The 22,045-nt window shown below is 40.1% G+C and overlaps 1 protein-coding gene across 10 annotated transcripts in view, besides 1 other annotated feature; it reads right to left on the bottom strand.

Annotated features, from left to right (window-relative positions):
• Nucleotides 1-22,045, bottom strand: part of NR3C2 (nuclear receptor subfamily 3 group C member 2) — a 366,559-nt gene that overhangs the window by 112,808 nt on the left and 231,706 nt on the right. For all 10 annotated transcript variants that reach the window (NR_148974.2, NM_001437655.1, NM_001437654.1 and 7 more), the window contains exon 4: nt 3,175-3,291. Coding sequence is in view for 9 of the 10 variants with exons in the window: in NM_001437655.1 (NP_001424584.1) it covers nt 3,175-3,291 (117 nt within the window). In the remaining variant the exon portion in view is untranslated. The remainder of the gene's footprint in view (nt 1-3,174; nt 3,292-22,045) is intronic.
• Nucleotides 707-1,906: an enhancer, noted in NCBI's record as "MED14-independent group 3 enhancer chr4:149113429-149114628 (GRCh37/hg19 assembly coordinates)". NCBI's record gives its function as "activates an origin of replication core promoter dependent on BRD2, BRD4, P300/CBP and CDK7 cofactors, and independent of MED14, by STARR-seq in HCT116 cells {active_cell/tissue: HCT116}" and the evidence as "EXISTENCE:reporter gene assay evidence [ECO:0000049][PMID:35650434]".

Here is a 22,045-nt window from a genome sequence, read left to right on the forward strand (position 1 = left end):
TATGCTTTCCAGGCTTTTAGAATTCTCTTCTTCCTCAAGTACACCGATTATTCTTACGTTTGGCTATTTAACTTAATCCCAGACTTCCTGGAGGTTTTGTTCATATTTTCTTATTCTTTTTCCTTTGTCTTTGTTGGATTGGGTTAATTTAAAGACCATGTCTTTGAGCTCTGAATTTCTTGCTTCTACTTGTTCAATTCTATTGCTTAGACTTTCCAGAGCATTTCACATTTCTAAAAGTGTGTCCAAAGTTTCCAGAATTTTTGATTGTTTTTTTCTTTAAGCTATCTATTTCCATGAATATTTCTCCCTTCACTTCTTTTATCATTTTCTGGATTTCCTTGGATTGGGCTTTGCCTTTCTCTGGTCCCTCCCTGATTAGCTGAATAACTAACCTCTTGAATTCTTTTTGAGATAAATCAGGGATTTCTTCTTGGTTTGGATCCATTGCTGGTGCACTTGTGTGATTTTCTGGGGTGTTGAAGAGCCTTGTTTTGCCATATTACCAGGGTTGGTTTTCTGGTTTCTTCTCATTTGTGCAGGCTCTGTCAGAGGGACGGTCTAGGGCTGAAAGCTGCTGTTCAGATTCTTTTGTCCCACAGGGTGTTCCCTTGATGAACTACTCTCCCTCTTTTCCTATGGATGTGGTTTCCTGTGAGCCAAACTGCAGTGATTGTTGTCTCTCTTCTAGCCACCCAGCAAGTCTACCTGGCTCCGGGCTGGCATTGGGGGTTGTCTGCACAGAGTCCTGTGATGTGAACTGTCTATGGGTCTCTCAGGTGGGGATACCAGCACTTATTCCAGTGGAGGTGGTGAAGGGTGCAATGGACTCTGTGAGGGTTTTTAGCTTTGGTGGTTTAACGCTCTATTTTTGTGCTGGTTGGCCTCCTGCCAGGAAGTGGCAATTTCCAGAAAGCATCAGTTGTAGTAGTGTGCTGAGGGAACTGTGATGGGTGGGGCCTAAGAACTCCCAAGAGTATATGCCCTTTGTCTTCTGCTACCAGGGTGGATAGGGAAGGACCATCAGGTGGGGGTATGGCTAGGCACGTCTGAGCTCAGACTCTCCTTGGGTGGGTCTTGCTGTGGCTGCTGTGGGGGGTGGGGTCGAGATTCCCAGTTCACTGGAGTTGTGTACCAAGGAGGATTATGGCTGCCTCTGCTGAGTCATGCAGGTTTTCAAGGAAGTGGGGGAAAGCCGGCAGTCACAGGCCTCACCCTGCTCCCAGGCAAACTAAAGGGCTGGTTTCACTCCCACTGAGCCACCCCAACAGCCCAAGTCTGTTTCCAGGGAGAGGGCAAGAGGGGCTTGAACACTTGCCCAAGGCTATCTGCCTCCCAGCAGCCACAGAAAAGGGCTTTAGTTCTTCCCCTGCCTGTGAAGTCTGCAGGCCTGATTTGGGCCATCCCCCGAGTTCTGGCAAGGAGGCTTCTCACCCTGTTCAAATTGTTACAAAGTTCAGCTAGAGAATTCCTTCTCCTTGTGGAGTTTTACCCCCTGCTCCTCTGGCCACCCTCCCGATGGATCCCTGTGGTGTCAGGTAGGAGTGGGCTGCTTGGGGACCCAGAGAGCTCCCAGGACCTTGCTGCTGCTTCTTCTACCCTTGTATTTCACTGGGCTCTCTAAGTTGACTCAGCTCCAGGTGAAGTCAGAAACTTCTCCCACAAACAGACCTTCAGCTTCTCCAGTGGGGGTGTGTGTTCAGGAGAGGAGGGTCTCCCTTTCCCACTTCTGCAGTTGGGGCACTCACAGTAACTGGGGTGTCTCCCAGGTCCTCCGGGAGCAGTCCGCTTCCTTCAGAGGGTCTGTGGGTCCTCTCGGGATTGCTGGTTTGTTCTTGCAGTGGATCTGGAGCTAAAATTCACAATGCAAGCCTCCGCATGCTGCTTTTTCTGGAGCTGCAATCTAGTCCTGCCTCCTGTCCACCATGATCCCCTGAATCCAGTATTGCACATAACCTATGCACAACCTCCTGTATGTGTTAAATCATCTCCAGATGACTTATAATACCTAATACAATGTGAATGCTATGTTATATATATATGTTACACTGTATTTTAAATTTTGTATTTTTGTATTTTTATCTTTTAAACCAAATGTTTTCAATTCATGGTTGGTTGAATCTGCAATATGAAACCCATAGATAGTGGGATTTGGAAAGGTCTTCTCTACTTGGAGAGTATTAAGAAAAATTCATGTTTTCTTTTAGTACTTCTGTGGCTATTTTTCTAAGTTTAAATCTTTGAAGCATCAGCATTTATTTTGGTGTATATAGTTAAGAGCTGGTATTCAACTTTCTTGTTTTCCAGATGGTTATCCAATTGTCATAGTATTTTCTATTGAATAATCTCCCATCCCTCCACTGATCTTAAAAGCCAGTTTTATTGTGTGCAAAATTCCTATATTATTTGGATTTATTTCTTGACCTTCTGTTAATCTGTCTGATAATCGATGAGCAAATACCACGGACTATTTTAATTATTGTAGCTATAATATGCTTTCCTATCTGGTAGAGCTAGTTCCTCCCATTATTTGTCTTTTCTAGAATATTCCTGGCTCTTCTTTAGGAACTTAGAATAATCAATTGGTATTTTTCTTAGAATTATACTATATTTACAGATTAACTTAGGGAAAATTTATATCTTGAGGATGCTGAGTCTTCCTATCCATGGATGTTGTATACTTTCGCATTTGGTTCTAGTTTTTTACCCTCTCCTCCTCTTTTGATGAGCCACTGTAACATTTCAAAGCTTTTTTCATATATATCTTTCTTTATTACACATACTTCTAAAGTTAGGTATGTACTCTATGTGGGTAATGTTATCACATATAGGTCTAATTTCTAAACAGACGTGGCAATAAGAACTATTAGCTATGGGTTTATATAAAAGTCATTCATTTTTGTTTTGTTTTTTGTTAAGTGCCTAGTTCTTGAAACTTAGCAAACTCAGGCTCGAAAAATTCACTAGAACTATAGCCATAAAACATACCTCTTTTTGACTCCAGCTAATAAATATTTCTCTTCTAAAATGTTTTAGCATGAAAACAGAACTCATCAGATTTTCAGAAACCTTTGCTCCCTGTTGGCTTCGTTTTCAATTTTGAGAGTACACAGATCTTAGTGCTGTTGCATTACCTATTAACAATTTTTATTAAACTAAAAATACAAAACTTACCTCCTAAATTCATTCCAGCTTGAAGACATTTCTGAAGTCTGCAAGCAGGACAATTCTTTCGTCGAATCTTATCAATGATGCAATCATTTCTTCCAGCACATAAATAGTTGTGTTGCCCTGATTAAAATAATAAAAAATAACTGTTAAAATAGAGTACACTAGTACAAAACATTAATATGTATACTCAGAATATAAAACTACTTCTTTCCTGCCTTGAAATCTCTTTCTCAAAAAAGTAAAAGTACATGATTTGTGGATAATATAGAGGAGGAGATGGTCAGCTTAATGCAGCTGAGACTTTAGATTACATATGATAACATTACACTTATTTTCAAACATGTTCTAATATAAGTAGAGCCATATTTCTCCATTATTTGAATTTTTTGATAGCTGCATAGGTTCAGGCAATAGTGCACATTTCCTGCAGACATCACAACAGCACCAATCTAAACAAAAATCCTACTGCAGCTGTTTAAGCTGCTATGCCTGCCCACCATTTATACATGTGACTTCACTGGGATTTCATAGTAATTTCACTTTCAAATTATACAATTGGAAATGTTAAACTATTTCATTCTGTAAAACAATATGGAACTAAAAAAAATCAGATGTGGGCACAGCACAGGCTTAGAGAGTGACATCTATTGGCAAAATATGAAATTGTAGCCTAGCTTTATTAGTATTTATTCAAAAATATTTACTAAACACCCACAGCGTACTAGGCACTACTAGAGGCACTAGGGATACAGTGATGAACAAGACAGACAAAAGCCTCTGCTCTTAACTTTCATTCGATTTGGGGGAGACATAATAGACAAGGTAATTAGATAAAATGTGTAAGATGTCAGATAATAATAAGCACTAGGGAGAAAAATGAAGGGAACATGGAAGGTGATTTTTAAATAAAGGTCTATAGATCTATCAGTCCTATAGATGTTCAGTCTAACAGTGTGGACATCTGGGGAAGAACATACACCAGAAAGAAAGAAAAGCAAATGTGGTAGAGAGGAAGGTGAGGGCTGATTACCTGGCATGTTCTAGGAACAGCAGGGACACCAGGGTGAATGAGCAGAAGAGAATGAGAAGAGAGTAAGAAAAGACAGAGATAAAGAGCTAAGGTGAGCCACATCACATAGGTCCTTAGAGGTGATATTCAAGACTTTGGCCTTTACTCTGAGATGAAGCCACTAGACTAGAGGGCTTTGAGCAGAGGAGTCACTTGATATGATTTACATTTCACAGCATCACTCTGGCTGCTGTGTTGAAACTGACTGCAGTGGACTAAGGACAGAAGTAGAGAGACCAGGGGTAGGAGGCAATTATTGTAACCTACGGGAGAGAGGAAAGTGGGCTGGGTCATTGTGGTAGCAGTGGCAGTGGTGAGATTCTAGATGTATTCCAAAAGTAGAGCTGCAAGGGTTTGCTGACAGATCAGAGGAAATGAGGAGTTAAGAAGGCCTTAAGATTCTTGGGCTAAACAAGTAGAAAAAGGGGACTGTCATTAATTAAAAGGGGAAGACAGAAGGAGCCAGTGGTTTATGAGGAATGACCCCAGCTCAGTCTTGGACATGGTAAGTTAGAGAAGCCTGATCAGCATCCAAGTGGAGGTGTCAGGTCTGCGGTTAGGAAGAGGGCTGGGCTAGAGATGTAATCAGCTTATGTATGTGATTTTAAGCCATAAAACTGGGTGAGATCATATGGTGGGTGAGCATAGACTGGAGAGTGAAGCCTGAAGAGTCATGGGTTATTGAAAAGAAGAGAGGGAGGCCCACTGTTTACTGCAAAGTAGTGAACAGGCTCCAAACCACTCCCTTCAGTGTAGTACCATCATGTTCCCTTGATTTAAGAATTACTAAGTAAATTACAGTAAATACTCAATAAAAATAATGTGCATCACTTAATGTAATTAAAATAATTTAATCTAAAGTATATTCTCTAATATTATAGTAAATCTTAGTAATAACAATAAAACAATAGTAACAGAATAGGGAAATCTATCAAAGTGAAGAAATGAAACCCTGCCATTATAATAATCTAATGCCTTTTCTAAAAATGGAAGGCTCTTAATGAATATGGGTAGGTGTAGATAATTACACAAAGGCAATCAATATCCATGGTAAAAATGGTAACTGATAAATATAACGTTTCATGATGTTGTACAGCAGCTTAGAGAGGTTTCCACTTTTAAAATAAAATTTTAATGCCACATTAGAGTTCTATGTTAGTTAACCCACAGAACAACCCTATGACATAGGTGAGATTATTATTGCTGCTATTCACCAGAAGAAACTCATACTAGAATTGATAAAGTGACTTCCCAAAAAGGTAGAGTTGGAAGAATAATTTAGGAAGTCTGATAACATTGCTGTGCCTCAAGGCCAGGAGAGGTTTTTCTAAATACTAATTTGCAATATAATTTACTGTTGGTCTAATAAGACATTGAAGATGCTCTTTGGAAATGAGAAGCAACAGAATGTTGAGAGAAGCACACTCTACTAGCCAGCATTTCTACTGACAACTGACATTATGTGCCTTTTGCATAGTATGAGATTGAATATAAAACCACAGGTTTCATCTTTAATATACACTGAACTGAATAAACTTTAAAGTCCAAAGAAATAACTAAATGTAATTTAAATTTGTTTTAATTCAATAAGTATTTATGGGGAACCTCCAATATGTTGCAAGGTCACGAATCATTTGCATAAGGGTTGGTCTGCTGTAGTCTAAGATTCACTTCTGTGAATTTTCAGTAAATGTAACTAAGACTTTTTAGATTGTAGGCATACAGAATGGAAAAAAATGGCCACTGTCTTATGAACACATTGGAAGATTTTCTTCTATGGGTGTTCAAAAACAGAGACCTTCAAATGCCAGGATTGTTCTAAAAGGATTTTAAAAAAAAATACCCTTCAAAAATTTGTTACTGTAACAACCCAGGATGATTTTCTCCCGAAAACAATATTTCATCTTCCACATATAGGATAGGAGAGTTGTAAGAGACTGTTGCAGACATGTCATTTTCAGAAAATTTTGTCGTTTATATTTTTAGTTGTGTAAACATTAACAATTTAAATTATACCTACACAAATATATAATGTGTGTCTCATTCCTTAATTCATATTAAACCAACACAACACACAACCAAAATCTGTCCAGTAGGACTCAGGGAACTTTAGTCATCCATCCGTGTACTCGAGTTCAGTGTACCTCCTGCTTGAGGTTGGGGCAGCTTTTTGGGCATAAGGCAGCCATTCTAGAAGACAGAAAGCTTCCAAGGTTAGGATAAACTTGAATGAAGTAGCAAGATGCTCAGGTCAGTTAGTGCACGTGTAAAACAAATTGAAAGACTTATAGGAAGACCAGATGAACTAAATTAAAGGGAAAATAAAAGCAAAAATGCCTTATGGACTTAAAAAACAATAACAAAGTTGAGTTTAAAAATAAATCAAAGGTATCATTTTTTTCTAATGTTTTAAACTATAGTATTGCTTTTAACTGTAGAATAATTCAGTAAGTGTTTAAAAGTTAATCTCATTATTTTAAAAGTTACTGCATTCAATAAAAATTGTCTTTTACAATTTTCAATTATTTTGAAATCAAGAAGCAACTTTTTGTTATACTTGGCCTGGTCCCAACTGAGAAAATACAGATTATGTGACATGCAGGTCTCTAAGCGTCAATAGCATAAGAACAGAAAAGTAGAAAAACGAAGGGCAGGGAGGAGAAAGCACAATGAAAAGGGGACCAGCTTCGCAACCAGGGTCCATCTGGGTCTCAATCCTACCTGAGTCAATAAGGAGCTATCAGAGCCTCAGCCAAGTGGCTCAATGTTTCTAGCATTGGTATCTTGATCTATAAAATGCAAAGAGTAATGCCTACTTTCTATATTATTAAATGGTTTCAAATGAATAATATACACATAAAGCAAGAAGCACAAAGCCTGGCCTGAAGAAAGAACTAAAAAAAAAAAGAAAAAACTAAAAAAAATTTAAAAAGGTGGTAGAGGTGGTAGTGATGAACATTTTGTTAGCTCACTTAAAAAAAAAATGGGGCCAGGTGCGGTGGCTCACGCCTGTAATCCCAGCACTTTGGGAGGCCGAGGTGGGTGGATCACGAGATCAGGTGATCGAGACTATCCTGGCTAACACGGTGACACCCCATCTCTACTAAAAATATAAAAAATTAGCCGGGCATGGTGGCGGGTGCCTGTAGTCCCAGCTACTTGGGAGGCTGAGGCTGAGGCAGGAGAATGGCGTGAACCCGGGAGGCGGAGCTTGCAGTGAGCTTGCACCATTGCACTCCAGCCTAGGCGACAGAGTGAGACTCCATCTCAAAAAAAAAAAAAAAAAAAAAAGTAGGATGAGAAAATCCAAAGAACAAAAATCAACTCGTAATGAAAGTTAAGTGAGTAAAGAGCGTCCTGTGGGAGCAGAATGTCGCCTTTGAGTAGGAAGGCCTCTAGATGAAAAGAGTCCAGCTGAGCCAAGACAAACGCCATTCAGCTCCGAACCCATCTTTAAGTCTTTAGTTTTTTTCTAAAAGCTGGCAAGGATATGAGCGTGTTGAACTGTATCTTCAGGGTAAACACAGGATAAAAAGCCAGGACTGTCCTATCTGCAACTCAGCTAAGAATTCTAGACTAGGGCCCAAGACTATAGGCATGGGATAAGATTCTGGAAAGTTATAACTTCCTTGTATTATTTCTCTCGCTATCTCTTTTTTTTAATTTATTACTTAGTATCAAGATTCTTAAAAGTAAGTAGGCACATACACTCAGGGGCAGAAGCAAAGGTGAGCCTGGGAGACTGAATTCCATTTTGCCAGGAGCCTTGAGGAAAACTGTACCCCTGCAGACGAGAGAAGGCAGAGGTAACTGATATTTACAGACAGGCAGGTTGAGGAGCAAGGCCCTCGGAAAACAAGAAAAAGAAGTTCTAGGATTTAACATATGTTCCCAGACAATGAGTTAATTCCATTCCACGAGGATTTTTAAGGCAGAATATAAAAAGGTAAAACATAGTCCATTTCTTCCAAGACCTTATATTCTACGGGTTAGGAGTAGGTTGGGGAAATTAAAATGATTAAGATAAATCTCCCTATGTAACAAACCTGTACATGTACCTCTGAACTTAAAAGTTAAAAAAAGATATATCATGTGTTCTTGATATGTTCTGACTTAAGGAAGGGACCATATTGGAGTTGGGGGATGAATTGGTCTTTAAGGAGAAGGAAAGCATCTGGCATAAGCCTTAAGGAATGTTCTAGAGAAATGTTCATACAATGAAACATGGAAAGGACAGATGTACAGGTGTTCCACACAAAGAATAAGCCCAAGGAAGGCTGAGACACAGTTAAGTGTTCAGTAAGCAACTGGTCTGGCAGAAGCACAGGCAGGATGGGTAAAGAGGAGGAACAGACAGTGTCCACACAGTCTGGTAGCCCAGCCACTTCCAGAGGTCGCCAATGCCCTGCGGGCTCCAGTGCCCCTTCCTCTCTTCTGGGTTTCAGCCCCATGCATATACCTGTCCACTGAATGCTCCCACCTGAATGTCTCTGACACTTCAATCCCTCCTTGTTCACTAATCAAATGCCACATCCCCACCCCCCACACAGCCCCCTTCCCGCCTGCTATATGCCCAATTTTAAAGCTACAAGGAGTTGCATGAACTAGAAGCTACAAGTTATCCATGATTTACACCGCTTCTCCCCACAATCCTCTACATTCAACTGCTGGCAAAGAACTGATGATTCTCCCTTCGAAGTGTCTTCTGTGTCCCATCTATATCCATCAGTACTTTCCTCATTGCAGGATCTCTTGGTTAAACTTCTGAATCATGGAGTTTGAATCCCTGTTACTATCTGACTTTAGAGAAGTTACTTAGCCTTTTCATATATCAGTTTCCTGACTTGTTAAACAAGAATTATAAAAGTGCCTATTTCATGAGTTATCATGAAAATAATATACCACACAAAGCACTTAAAATAGTCACTGCTATGCAGTAAGGATAAAATGAATGGTAGCTGTTATCGCTGTATTTCTGTGATTATCATTATTACTATTATCATGTACTACTGCATATTATCAGTATAATTTCAATGGACTTGTAGCTAGTCTACCTGCCTCTACTAATACACCACTTCTAAATCAAATGATTCTAACTTCAATTTAAAAGTTATTAAATTAAAAAAAAAAACTCTTACACAGACATCAATAGGTTAAAAAAAGAAAGAGAAACATTTTGGCTGAAATGAAGCTAAGGGGTATCCCTGGTGTTTCCCTCCATCTGTACCCGTCAGTGGTGTAGGGGGCACTCCATAGGAAACTGCGGCCTCTATGGCAGGCACTTAGGGCCCTGGGCCTCTTCAGAAGTTTCTCCATCTTCTGTAGAGCCTGCACAGTCATCCCCCTGAATCACAGATCTGATTATGACATCATCTGTTTAAAGGCCTTCTAGGGCCCTTCACTGCTTAAACTGTCAAGTCCGAGCTCTTATAAGCTCCATATTCAATGTGAGTTGAGCCAGTGTGGCACAGGGAGGGGAGATGGGCAGGCCAGAGCTCAAAGATGTGCTTAGCAAAACTTACAACCATTTCAGAAAAAGGAACCAAAGCTTGGTCAGAGGCATCTGACCTAATAACATTGGATTATGTTTATTGGTGATTTTAGTTTCGGTGTTTTTATTATTGCCATGTATTGTTCCTATTATGGATGTGAAGGACAATATGCTTATGGTTTATTTTAACAAATAAAAGAACTCAGAAGATTGGTCCTTTGCCTGCTTGTATCTCTCTTCACAAGTACAGACATATAGGTTGGTCCTGAATCACAAACACCATTGCTACAGACATCCTCAACTATAGACAGTAGTCAGCATGCACCATCTCCTCTGCCTGCCAACCCTGGCTGATGTTTGGTCATGGGTGGTGGCAGGACTTCTGGCATATCTCCCCCATTACTTTTCTTTTAAGTCTTAGAAGGGAGTCTCATTTCTGTTTTTCTCTGGCTCCACTAATTTCATGTTCTATGACATCTACAGATCCATATACCCCCTTCAACTCCCCATCAGTGTCCCACTCCTCTACCTATATCTGGAAAACATTCTATCCCTCTATACACATGGCTGATCGTCAGGGTAGTACCCTTTTATCAAGCAAGACACTGCGGTTCTCAGGGAGAGTTAGATATGAGATATGAAAAGAACCAGGTTCTGGAAGCCCCCAAACCACAGCAGACACCTACAAATACTCTTGAGAATCTTTAAAGAAGGATTTGCAGAGCAGGAGGTGCTTCAATTACATCTTATGAACAGAATGCCCAAAATTTTATGTTTTAAAAAACTGACTTATCACACATTGGGAACATAGCCTTTTACATATGGGGGACTGAATATGGAAAATCAAAACATACTGAACATTGACATTTGCTCCTGCCCCAGTACCCAGATTCCTTCCCGTCCCCACAGAGAGGTGGTGCTGGGGCCTCAGATTGAGCCTCCAGTGGCGAACACCTCTGCCCACCCTTGATCTTTTTTCCAGGGGGAGGAAGCTCCAAGATGCTACATCACAGGCCTCTCTCCATCCCCTTTACTCAGTCTGCCTTCATTAGTACATTTGAGAAGAATTAATCTGGCTTGCCTGCCTCCACATTGGCTTCATCCTTTTGTGGGAGAGCTCCCTCTGGGAGCAGGTGCTCAGCCTCCAGTCTTGGGGAGGCCTGTCCTGATCCAGCTGTTCCCTTGCCTGTACCTAATCTGGGGGCTCAGATGACAGGCCCTTTTGGCTCTTATCACTAAATGATATATTTCAACTTATTTACTCCCAAATGTTGATGTTTTATCTTCCACCAGCCACTCCTTTGTTTTATAACTCAATTTGTTCAGAATCCGGGTGGGAAATGTGCTATTTTACAGGTCGCTTAGAGATGAAGAGAGACAAAGTTAACACCAGAGTCCCTGAGATTCAGATCTCACAAATACGGACCCATACAGAGTGAGCTCCTGAGCTTGAATCCTAAGAAAGGCCCTAAGGTTCCCCCCTCATCCCCCTTCCTCTGTATCTTGCTCCTTAATTCCTACTTTCCCAGATCTGGAGCTCATTAAAAGGCAGGGAACCCAGGGAATGTGGTCATTATGGGAATCCAAATGTTGATGACAGTGAAGGCATAGTTTAAACCCTCTTCTGGTGTTTTTGTTTTCCTTCTAAAAAACATTCTTGAACAAATTTCACCACTGAATCTTGTTTTCCTTTAAAACCTTATTTTTATGCTCCCTATGTTATGTGAAATGTTTTCTTTTTCATATCTTGAAGATACAAAGTATTTAAATAAAAGGGACAATAACTTATAAAAATCGTTTGATATTTATCACTCTCTGAATGATCTATTGCTTAATAATTTGTTATATGCCAGAGCCATTAATAAATCTGAGGGTTTGGTTGTTGTTGCTGTTCATTCAAACATGGGAACTATATGTTTCGTAGAGCACCAAACTGGCTGCAAGTACGTCTTCACTAACTACCCCGGTCGATACTCTAGAATAACCAGACCTTATGTACAATGTAAGTTTCCCTATTTAAAAAAAAAAAATCATTTATTTTCAGTATCAAAAAGGCAATTTCTCCAAATCCTTTTTAAAATTAACTTTGTGCTTAAATCTCTTTTTCATTTTTAAAGATCCATTTGTTGTCCTGCTGCAAGATTTTTTTTTTTTTTTAAGCAGTTGACAACTGCCCAGCAACAGCAGCCTGTGTTTGCAGTCACTATTTTGGGCTACATCACATGTCACTTACATAACCTTGTTTAACTGCTCTTGAACTGGTTCGAACAACCTGGGAAACAGATTAGAGCAGCCCCAGCAAATTCCCGCATTGCAGATTCTGATGGGCGATTTCCCTTCCCCCATCCCTCCCCCCGCCCCGCCCCCGTTCTTATAATGTCGCATGGTGAGTTAAGACGGTGTCCAACAAGAACTGGTTATTCATTGTTGGAGCCAACTAAAACATTCGATAATTAACTTCCTCTGCTCAGTTAAAACCAGTTTGGTCTGCCCATAATAAACCAATGAACAATGATCCCCTGCTGCTGAGGTTTATGAGTGGGCCTGGATTAACATGTTTTAAAATGCCAGGGGGAAAAAGAACTGACTTGAGAAGTAAGTACAGGTTGCCTTTGCCACCTTGAAGCACAAATCTTTTGAAATTATGTTTTTAGGATTCTAACATTTTAATTTAGAAGTCAGATTAGCATTATTTTTTTTTCCTGTGGTGTTTCAAGAGTTCTTCCCATGTGGATAAGCACAAAATTCCCACATAAACATTCTTCTTGTTGTGAAAGGTGTTCGTTTTTCATTTTTTAAAATGTACTTTTAATTATCATAAGAATTTTTATGTATATTTTAGTAAAAGATAATCAAAGATAATATTATATGACAAAATCCAAGTGATGTAAGATTTTAACCTTGAGAAACACTTATTATGGTGCGCAGTAAGAAAAAGCAAGTAAGTTACTAACAAGGAACAAGGAACTTTTTTTTCAGGAGGAGTGACTTACATTTCTCACACATTCAATACTAGGAATTTAACATAGCTGCACTTCACTATGCAAAAACATCTGTTATCTAGATAAACTAATACGTTATTCAGGGCAGTGGAAAGGGAACTAGCATTTGTTGAATTCCTATTATGTGACAGGTGCTTTACCAATCATACCTAATTTAAACCTTTAAAAATCCTATGGGGGGAGTCCTATGAGATTGGTCATATTATCCCCATTTTGTCAATTAAGACAAATTCGGAGTGGTAAAATTATGTGGCTAGCTTAGCTGGGATTCATACTTACAGCACTTTCATTACAGCACTTACTCTGTCTACGGTCCATCCATGTTAGAAGTATACTTAATATTCTTATACCAACAGGACAAAATGGTGCAGAAACAGAACCTCTGGAATGCAAGACATGTTTAGGCCACCTTAAAAAGGATAATTCAGACAAATACATCACTAACCACTCTGACACTGGGAAAAGAGAACCATATGAATTTGGTCGCACCTATAATTCTAATTACATCATACGTAGGATGCCAAATTTACATACTGCCTGATCCACCACTTTTTGCCTGATCTAAATATACCTCTAAACTCCAGACCTGGAAGCCAACATATGCACAGCCCTTGCAAGAATTTAAAAATCCTACATGCTGGGTTCTCAGTGATCAGATTTTTGCCCAACCAGCTAATCCCTCAAGACCTCAAAAGTAGAAATGAGGCCAGGATAGAGAGAAGGGACTGTTGTTCAGCCACTCTGGCTTCAAACTATTTGTTAAGATTTGAAGGTTTCAACACAGTTCAGTGGGTCCTTATTTGCCATCTCAGGCATAGCCCAGTTTCTGAACAACAATATAACTCTAGACCGAAATGAAACCCAGATGAGAGCAGATATTGGTAACAAAGGACAACTGAATCATAAACTTCTACCAACAATCTAAAATGTTTGCAAGAAAAGTATGAAATTATTTGATATGTGTTTGTTTTGCCACATGCACAAATATTAAATTAGACTAGTTTTGGGTCTATAATGCTATAATATATGCATGTGGTTCAAAATTCAAGATGTACTATAGGACATCTGGTGAAAAGGCTCTCTCTCTCCCCCTCTCCTATCCTCTAACCACCTAGTTTCCTTCCCCCAAGGCAAACCACTGTTATCAATTTCTCTGTATCCTTCCAGAGGTTTTTCTAGGATACATGTTTTTAACCACAGTAAATATGTTCTGTTTGTTAAGTTAGGCATTATTAATTCAATATGTCTGCTTGCTCTTTTATTAATTCAACAAATAATTATCGGGTGGCTATTACATGCCAGTTACAGCACTGGGAAGAGAGATGAATAAGAGATCCCTGTCCTTTAGGGACTCATAATCCAGTGTGGGAGAGTGGCTCCTAAGCAAATTAAGCCCTGGGGCAAGAACGGCACATGAATAAGTGCTAAGAGAATACAGAAGAGAAAGTAACTATTTTCGCCTCAGAAATCAGAAAAGGCTTCACAGAAGAAATAACAATAGATTTGCATCTTGAGGACTGTTTTCTGGATGGAAAGGGAATTAGAAAGTCTTCCTACCCAGAGAAACACACTAAAAAAAAAATGTTGTCAGAAGGCATCATATATTTTGGGATGGGTGAGTTTTGTGGCTGGTGCACAGTGGGGTGTATGTGTAGAATTGAGAAAGAGCAAAACCGTGAGGACTTGTTAGACCATATGACACAGTCTGGACATGAATCTTAGGCAATGGTGAAGCCAGTCCAGGTCTAATTTGTGTTTTGGGAGTTCACTCTAGTAGTTCAGTGGAAGATGTCCTAGAGTAATGGCAAAGGGACCAGTGAAGCTCAGAATCCAGATGACTCTTTCCAAAGAAAGAGTCTTTGGGAAGACTTTGATTGGGAGATATAATTCCAATTAATCATCCTTGTCTCTGTTACTCTCTGGCTCCAAACTTGTTTTTCCATAGCTGAATTGCCTTCACACCCACTCATCCAAATGAGAAAAGCCAACGCCATCCTAAATCATTTCTTTGTGGCCCTCTATGCAAACACTCACACTTTTCTAATTTTATAACTCAAAGTTGTTTTCTACCTTCTTGGCCCCATCATTGTCTCAAAGAAGCAAATAATATGTATGTTTGAGATAAAAATGGCAGCCATCAAGTTACCTACTTAGCTTGTCAAAGCCGAGTAGATATTTTCTGCTTTCATATTCTAAACCTGCCAGTTTCCCCTTTATCCCATTATTCCCAGTAGAAATAACAAATTTCAGTCTGTTTGAACCAAAATTCTTATGCTTATGATGAAAAAGTGATATAAGGGGTAAAATCTGCATACGTTAGAACTTTGTATATGGTTATTTTATCATGTGGAGTTGAAGATTAGAATCTGATAAGAGAGTGGAAGGGAGAGGAACTGTGTGGGATATTGAGCTGCAAGCCTTTGTTCTCTGAAATAGGACTATCTGCTGAGACTGAGAAGGGCAGGGTTGGAGAAGGGACTAGATCATAAGTGTGCTGGAGCAGCCATGGAAATATGACAGCATGAGCTGAAAGGGAAGAAGACTCAGGCTTGTGGGCTACCAACTATGTTCCAGGTTACTGGGTTAGGCAAGTTACATTCTTATGTTTAATGTTTATGATAATCTTTTTTTTTTTGAGATAGGGTCTTTCTCTGTCATCTAGGCTGGAGTACAGTGGCATGATCACAGCTCACTGCAGCCTTGATCTTCCAGCCTCCAGCACTCCTCCCACATAAGCTTCCTGAGTAGCTGGGACTACAGGTGCATGCGCCCATGCCTGGCAATTTTTTTTGATTTTTAGTAGAGACGTGATCTTGCTGTGTTGCCCAGGCTGGTCTCCAACTCCTGAACTCAAGTGATCCTCCCAAAGTGCTGGGATTATAGGTGTGAGCCACTACTCCTGTCCTTATGATAACCTTTTAAATAGGTGATACTATCCTCATGTCCTGAGCAAGGAAATGGGTAGCTGTCCATGGTGCTTCACAGGGCCAGCAGTGATGGCAGGATTCAAACTCAAGTCTGACAAAAGCCCATGCTCACTAGAATCACCTGGCCAGTCAAACAGAAGCAGTACTGAATCTTCGCATGCATGAAAAACATCTAGTTCACAATTTCTAAGAAGGCTTTAAACATATGTTTTAACCTTGTATATTTGATCATTTGGCTAAATTTGTTTAAAATCTCTTTCTATCTAAAAAATAGCTTAGTTCTTATTTACAGCTGAAACTCAGGACAAGAGAGGTTCCTAATGCGATTCATAAGGCAGTAATGGGCTTTAGGGTCAGATGCAGTGGGTTATAGCAGACTGTGTCACTTAGCAGCTATGGAACACTGAACAAGCCATTTAACCTTACATTTTTTCATCCATAAAGTCAGTAACAAAAATTATCTCACAGGGGCTTATAAAGATTAAGCCAACAGTACAGTAGTCTCCCTTTATCCATGAGGGACATGTTCCAAAGACCCCCAGTGGATGCCTGAAACCACAGATAGTACCAAAATCTATATATACTGTGTTTTCCTATACACACACACACCCATAACATTTAATGATAAATTAGGCACACTAGGAGATTAATAACTAATAATAACACAGTAATTAAATAATAGACTGTAATAAAAGCTATTTGGATGTGATCTCTCTCTCTTCTCATAATATCTTATTATACTACACTTACCTATTTTCAGATTATGGTTGACACTGTGGGGACCTGAAACCAAGGAGCATGAAACCACTGACAAACGGGGAACTACTGTACACTTAAAATGCCTAGAACCATGTGTGGAACACAACTGGCGCTCAACAAACTTTCTACTCTTCCCCAAGGTCACAGCCCTTGAGATCAGGAAGCACCTTAGTGCAATGGCAGAGCACTGTTCCGGGAGCAGATGGCTTGGTTCCTGTCTGGTTTCACCACTCACTGACTGTGAGAGCTACAGTTAGCCACACCAAGCTCTAGTACGTCCATCCGTAGAATGGTCACTGTAATGGTACCTCCTTGCAGGACTGTATTCAGCCCTGTTCAGGTCAATCCCAACTTTGGGCAGAAGGATCCAGTCCTTCTATTCCAAAGCTGGGATCTCTGTGTTAAGTTACTTTTCTACCAATTATGCTTGCATGTTGGGCTCAATTTCTGTTAATAGGTTTTGTGCCTCATTCCCCTGTGTCCCATTCCTTGTGTTAATGCCTATGTAGTACCCCCGTCCTTACAGGACAAAATTCCTAACTCCCTGACTCCCTCGAAAGCCCAGTCCCAAGACTGGGGCTCTGACACCTGCCTTTCTTGAGAGCCTACCTGCTGAGATTTCTAAATGCAGTCTCCTCCTACACCCAAAGACTCTCATGATGTCCTACTCAGACCACCAGCAGTTTCTGCACTCTGCCTTCTGGGCTGGACTTCCTTGTGACACCTGTACCCATACTCCAGATATTATCCCACCTTGGTCTGATTCATATCCTAGGCCTTTCCAGTTTGTCCCATTATTACCTTAATTTCCAAAGAAATATTTCCTGTCACCATTTCTTGTATATAGAAGGAAAATAATAATAAAATAATACAATAGAGAAAAATAATAATTTAGTTTATTTGGAATTACATGGTGTTTTTTTCTCTCTCTCAAAAAGCAACAGCTTTTCATGAAGAATATGCAAAAAATGGCCGGGCGCGGTGGCTCATGCCTGTAATCCCAGCACTGTGGGAGGCCGAAGTGGGCAGATCACCTTAAAGTTAGGAGTTCAAGACCAGCCTGGCCAACATGGTGAAACCCAACCTCTACTAAAACTACAAAAATTAGCTGGGTGTGGTGGCATGCACCTGCAATCCCAGCTACTCTGGAGGCTGAGGCAGGAGAATGGCGTGAACCCAGGAGGCAGAGGTTGCAGTGAGCCGAAATAGTGCGACTGCACTCCAGCCTGGGCAACAGAGTGAGACTCAGTCTCAAAAAAAAAAAAAAAAAAGAAAAAGCCAAAAATGCTTTATGCAACAGGGTCTCATTCTGTTGCCCAGGCTGGAATGCAGTGGTGCAATCACGGGTGGGCTATCACAGCTTACTGTAGCCTCAACCTTCTGGGCTCAAGCAATGCTGCTGCCTCAGCCTCTTGAGTAGCTAGAACTGCAGGTACACAACAGCACTCCCAGCTAATTTTCTGATGTTTTTTGCGGGGTGGGTGGGAGGTAGAGACAGGGTCTGACTATCGTGCACAGGCTGCTCTCAAACTCCTGGCCTCAAGTGATTCTCCTGCTATGGCCTTCTGAAGTGTTGGGATTACAGGCATGAGACACTCGGCCTGGCCTAAGAAAGCATATAGATTTATAACTGATTGCCTAACTATCATTTCAGTCACTCGTAAAAGAGAAAGACTCATTGATTTTAGAGTCCTATATAACAAAACCACCAGCTGATTTTTAGCTTACCAGGAGAAGCCAATTAGGGCTAGGACGGTTGCTTCTCACCCTTACTTGCCTGCGCCTTCCTCTGCCCTTCCAGGTCTGCCATCTCCAGATCCCATCCAGCCTTAAGTCTTGGTTTAATCCTAATGCTAGAAGTTCCTAGAATGTTCCAGCCTTTTCCCACTCCCCCAATCCATGATACTGGCCTGATCAATTTGCTTAGGGCACCATTGCTGCGTTTCTCCCAACTTGCAGCCTGCCCTTGCTACAGAGCAATGTTCTCTTGCTGTCCAGGGTTTCTCAGGTGCAACTTTCCCTTGGGCTCCAAGTTATATGTCAGCAAGGTCCTTCCCTTCCATTCCCTCCTCTCCTGGGAGGAGGGTCTGGATGGGTCACATTCTAGAGGACAGTCTCTTTTTGCTAATGAGAATAAAGGTGGGCAGAAAGAGGCCGGTTTTGGTGTGATACTTCACTAATTTTAGGTGTTTTTTTGTTTTTGTTTTTGTTTTTTTAAGAGATGGAGTCTTGCTCTGTCACCCAGGCTGGAGTGCAGTGGCGCAGTCTTGGTTCACTGTAACCTCCACCTCCCGGGTTCAAGCATTTCTCCTGCCTCAGCCTCCCAAGTAGCTGGGAACACAGGCGCATGCCACCACGCTGGGCTAATTTTTTGTGTTTTAGCAGAGATGAGATTTCACTGTGTCACCTGGGCTGGTCTCGAACTCCAGAGCTCAGGCAATCTGCCTGCCTCGGGCTCCCAAAGTGCTGGGATTACAGGCAGGAGCCATTGCACCCAGCCACTAATTCTGGGTTCCTAATGTTCTCTCCAGTGGGCTCCAGACCCAAGCCCAGTGAATTAAGACAAGGTAATTTCCTTTCCTACTTGTCAGTGTTCTTTTATGCATATTCCCAAAGGGGAAAAAAACCTGTGGTTTGAGGCAGAGTTGGGCCTTTGCTCCCATCCTGAGTTTCTGTCTGAGGAACCTGTCCTATATTGCTGGTTTGCCAATAAATTCTGAGACATAATAAGTGCAAAGCAATCATAATAAGTTTCAAAAGCCTTTTCTATCCACAAGTACCAATAAATTATTACACTAATATGTTAAATATTTTCATATACAAAACCACCACAATCTGTAAATCACTAACTTGCTGGGTCATCCTGTGAAATTAAAGCCTTTCTAAGTTTCTTCCCTCATCTGTACAATGTAGATATGAGATTAATCTCTATTGCCCTGTGTGTATATCTCTTTGCTTCTATGGTCCTGAAAAGAGGAATGGTTGACGAAAAGATATAAAGTGATCATTAGAATGAATTGGTAGTAAATCCAGAGATGGCCTTGCCTGTGGCCAGGGTACACACCTATGAAGCCCAACTCAGAGCAAACTGCTGAAGACAGGAAAGGGAGTAATCACTGTCCTTATCCCACATAAGAGTCTTAAGTTGCAAACTAGTTAAAAGAATTCCAAAGCAGTCACAATGGTCTTTGATGAGAATGGCAGTCAAAGATAAGGGAAATTACTTACAAAAGAATACTTCTAAGGCAAGTACTCCAGGAGATAAATAAAACCCGAAAAATATAAGATTGTGTATGCATGTGTATAGATACCTATTAAAACACAAATTTTAAACAGCTCCAACAGTGCTGAAAGCCAAACTGTGATCACACGAGAATCTTTAAAAAGCTTTAGAATTTTTCATTAGGTGTAAGATAATAAAATGCAGACATGGAAGGCTCATTGCCCTTTTTCTCTGCTCACTGCAGTTCTAGATGTTTTTAAGGAGGCTACTTATGTATTTATTTTTATGTTGCAATTATAAAACTGAAAAAATATATTAGGAAAAAGCCTACAAGTAATATTTTAAGTCAAAGAAAAATTAGAGGAGCTTATTAAATTTGATAAACCATGGCGTCACTGGAAGAATATTAAAGAAAGAGGGAGTTTGGTTAACACCTCAGATCAAGTTACGTGAAATAATGTGCCTCTATGAAGCAGGATGGAGATAAACAAAATACAGCTTGCAGGCCAAAAATAGCCTAGTTTTCCCAGCCTCTGCATTCCATCTGTCAAAACAAGGTGGATGGCATTCATCAGATACCAGCAATGTGTATATAGCTGGACTGATCCAATCATTTTCTGGTGGACTTAGTTTTATTATTCGTAATAATAATAATCAGCCATCAATTAATGGAATTTGTAAAAATGGTTACATAATGGAGGCTTTGTCAATTATCATCAGCTCATTCTTCTTTCCCTTCTGGAGACTAGAGTCGAAAATTTCACATCCTCACTACCAAGTCTAAGGCCCTCACTGAACCTCAACCTTCCTTGGAACCTTCCCTAACCCTGGTCAGAAATATCTCCTCTCTCTAAAATACCTGCACACTTGATTGAAACCTCAAGGAGCCAGCTAACACTGGCTGAGCACTATCACAAGTTGGGCCCCGCAGCACTGCATTATCTTAATTAAGCTTTGCAAGAACACCATCCGCTATTAAAAGTATTCCCATTTCACATTGTTCTTATTGCTTTGGCAAGTTCTTAGTAGCAATGATTGCTTTCTTCTCTATGTGAAGGTTGATATTTGCATGTCATTTCTTCTTATCTATATCACAGCCTCTCCAAGGTGGGGATATCTTATGCATCAATAGAGCCTCATGGAACCTACATGGCTCAAGTAGTTACACCCTTAGTGTCTGAAGTTAGGACTGAGCTACCCTCAGCAGTGTAGTCCTCTTGTTTAGCAACAGGCTAGTGCCTGGGGCAGGATCAACTGTCCCTTCTCAGCTGAGGACTAATCTTGTGCTGTGACCCTGGAATTTACTCCCAAACCTGTCAATGCCTTGCCTAGCAGAGTAGTAGAAGTTACTGTTTAAAACCTTGTCCCAGAGGGGTCATTAGCCATTGTATCACCATATAACAAGGCAAACACATATAGGGAGCCAAGAAAATATCTAAAAGTAAATGAGATGTTCCTTTGAATAAAATGAAAATTTAAATGAAAAGTACATTTCAAATATTTTTACTGGTCTGCAACGGGCAGAAAAATAGATTCTCATTTAATCAAAATTTAATCGCATGATCCATTTGTGATAAAACAAAAGTAGTTTTATTGTGTGGTTTTAGCCTCTGCCTCTTTATAAGGACCTACTATGTGATAGGCATCGTGTTTATTGTGCAGATGAAGGTTCGTAATAAAAATATTTGCTTGCAAGAAGTTCACAGAACTACATACAATTACCTATGATAAAATGTGTTAAGTGCATTTTAAGGTATAAAAACTGTTAAGAGATCACAGAGGAAGAAGAAATTAATGAGGGAAGGAGAGGAGGACAGAAGATAGTGATCACAAAAGTTTTGTGAAGAGGTCATCTTTCATCTGAACCTTAAAGGAGAAATGCAATTTCTCCAAAGTTGAGAAGGAGAGGAAGGACAATGATGGGTTTTTTTTTTTTTAGACAAGACCACACTTCTCTAGGAGGAGTCACAGCTGCCTCAACACAGTGCCACAGCACACACAGTGCCTTCTACATATGACTCAGGATAGACTGATTAAATAGCTGTACAATAAAATTCAACAAAGTCATGGAAATTCATTTTAAAATCAGTATAATAAAAATCTTAGTAAAGACAATCATACCAGCAAACCCAAGGAAAAGTAGAAATCATTAGACATGGTGTTAAAGTCTAAGGAATGTCAAACAAAAGGTGAGAAACTGACCCCCAATAATGATGGAATTTTTATGTATGTTTAGTGTTACCTAATAACTTACTCACAATTCAGTTTTCTGCTTACATATTTATAGTATTCTGAATTGAATACGTTTATCCCATATGAAATTAAAGCTGAGTATTATTCTGCGGCTGTTCCAAAGGCTATGGTCTTTCACATGTACTCAACCTTTAAGTCAATACAATCTAA

This window comes from Homo sapiens, chromosome 4 (assembly GCF_000001405.40).
Source record: "Homo sapiens chromosome 4, GRCh38.p14 Primary Assembly".
NCBI classification, from domain to species: domain Eukaryota; kingdom Metazoa; phylum Chordata; class Mammalia; order Primates; family Hominidae; genus Homo; species Homo sapiens.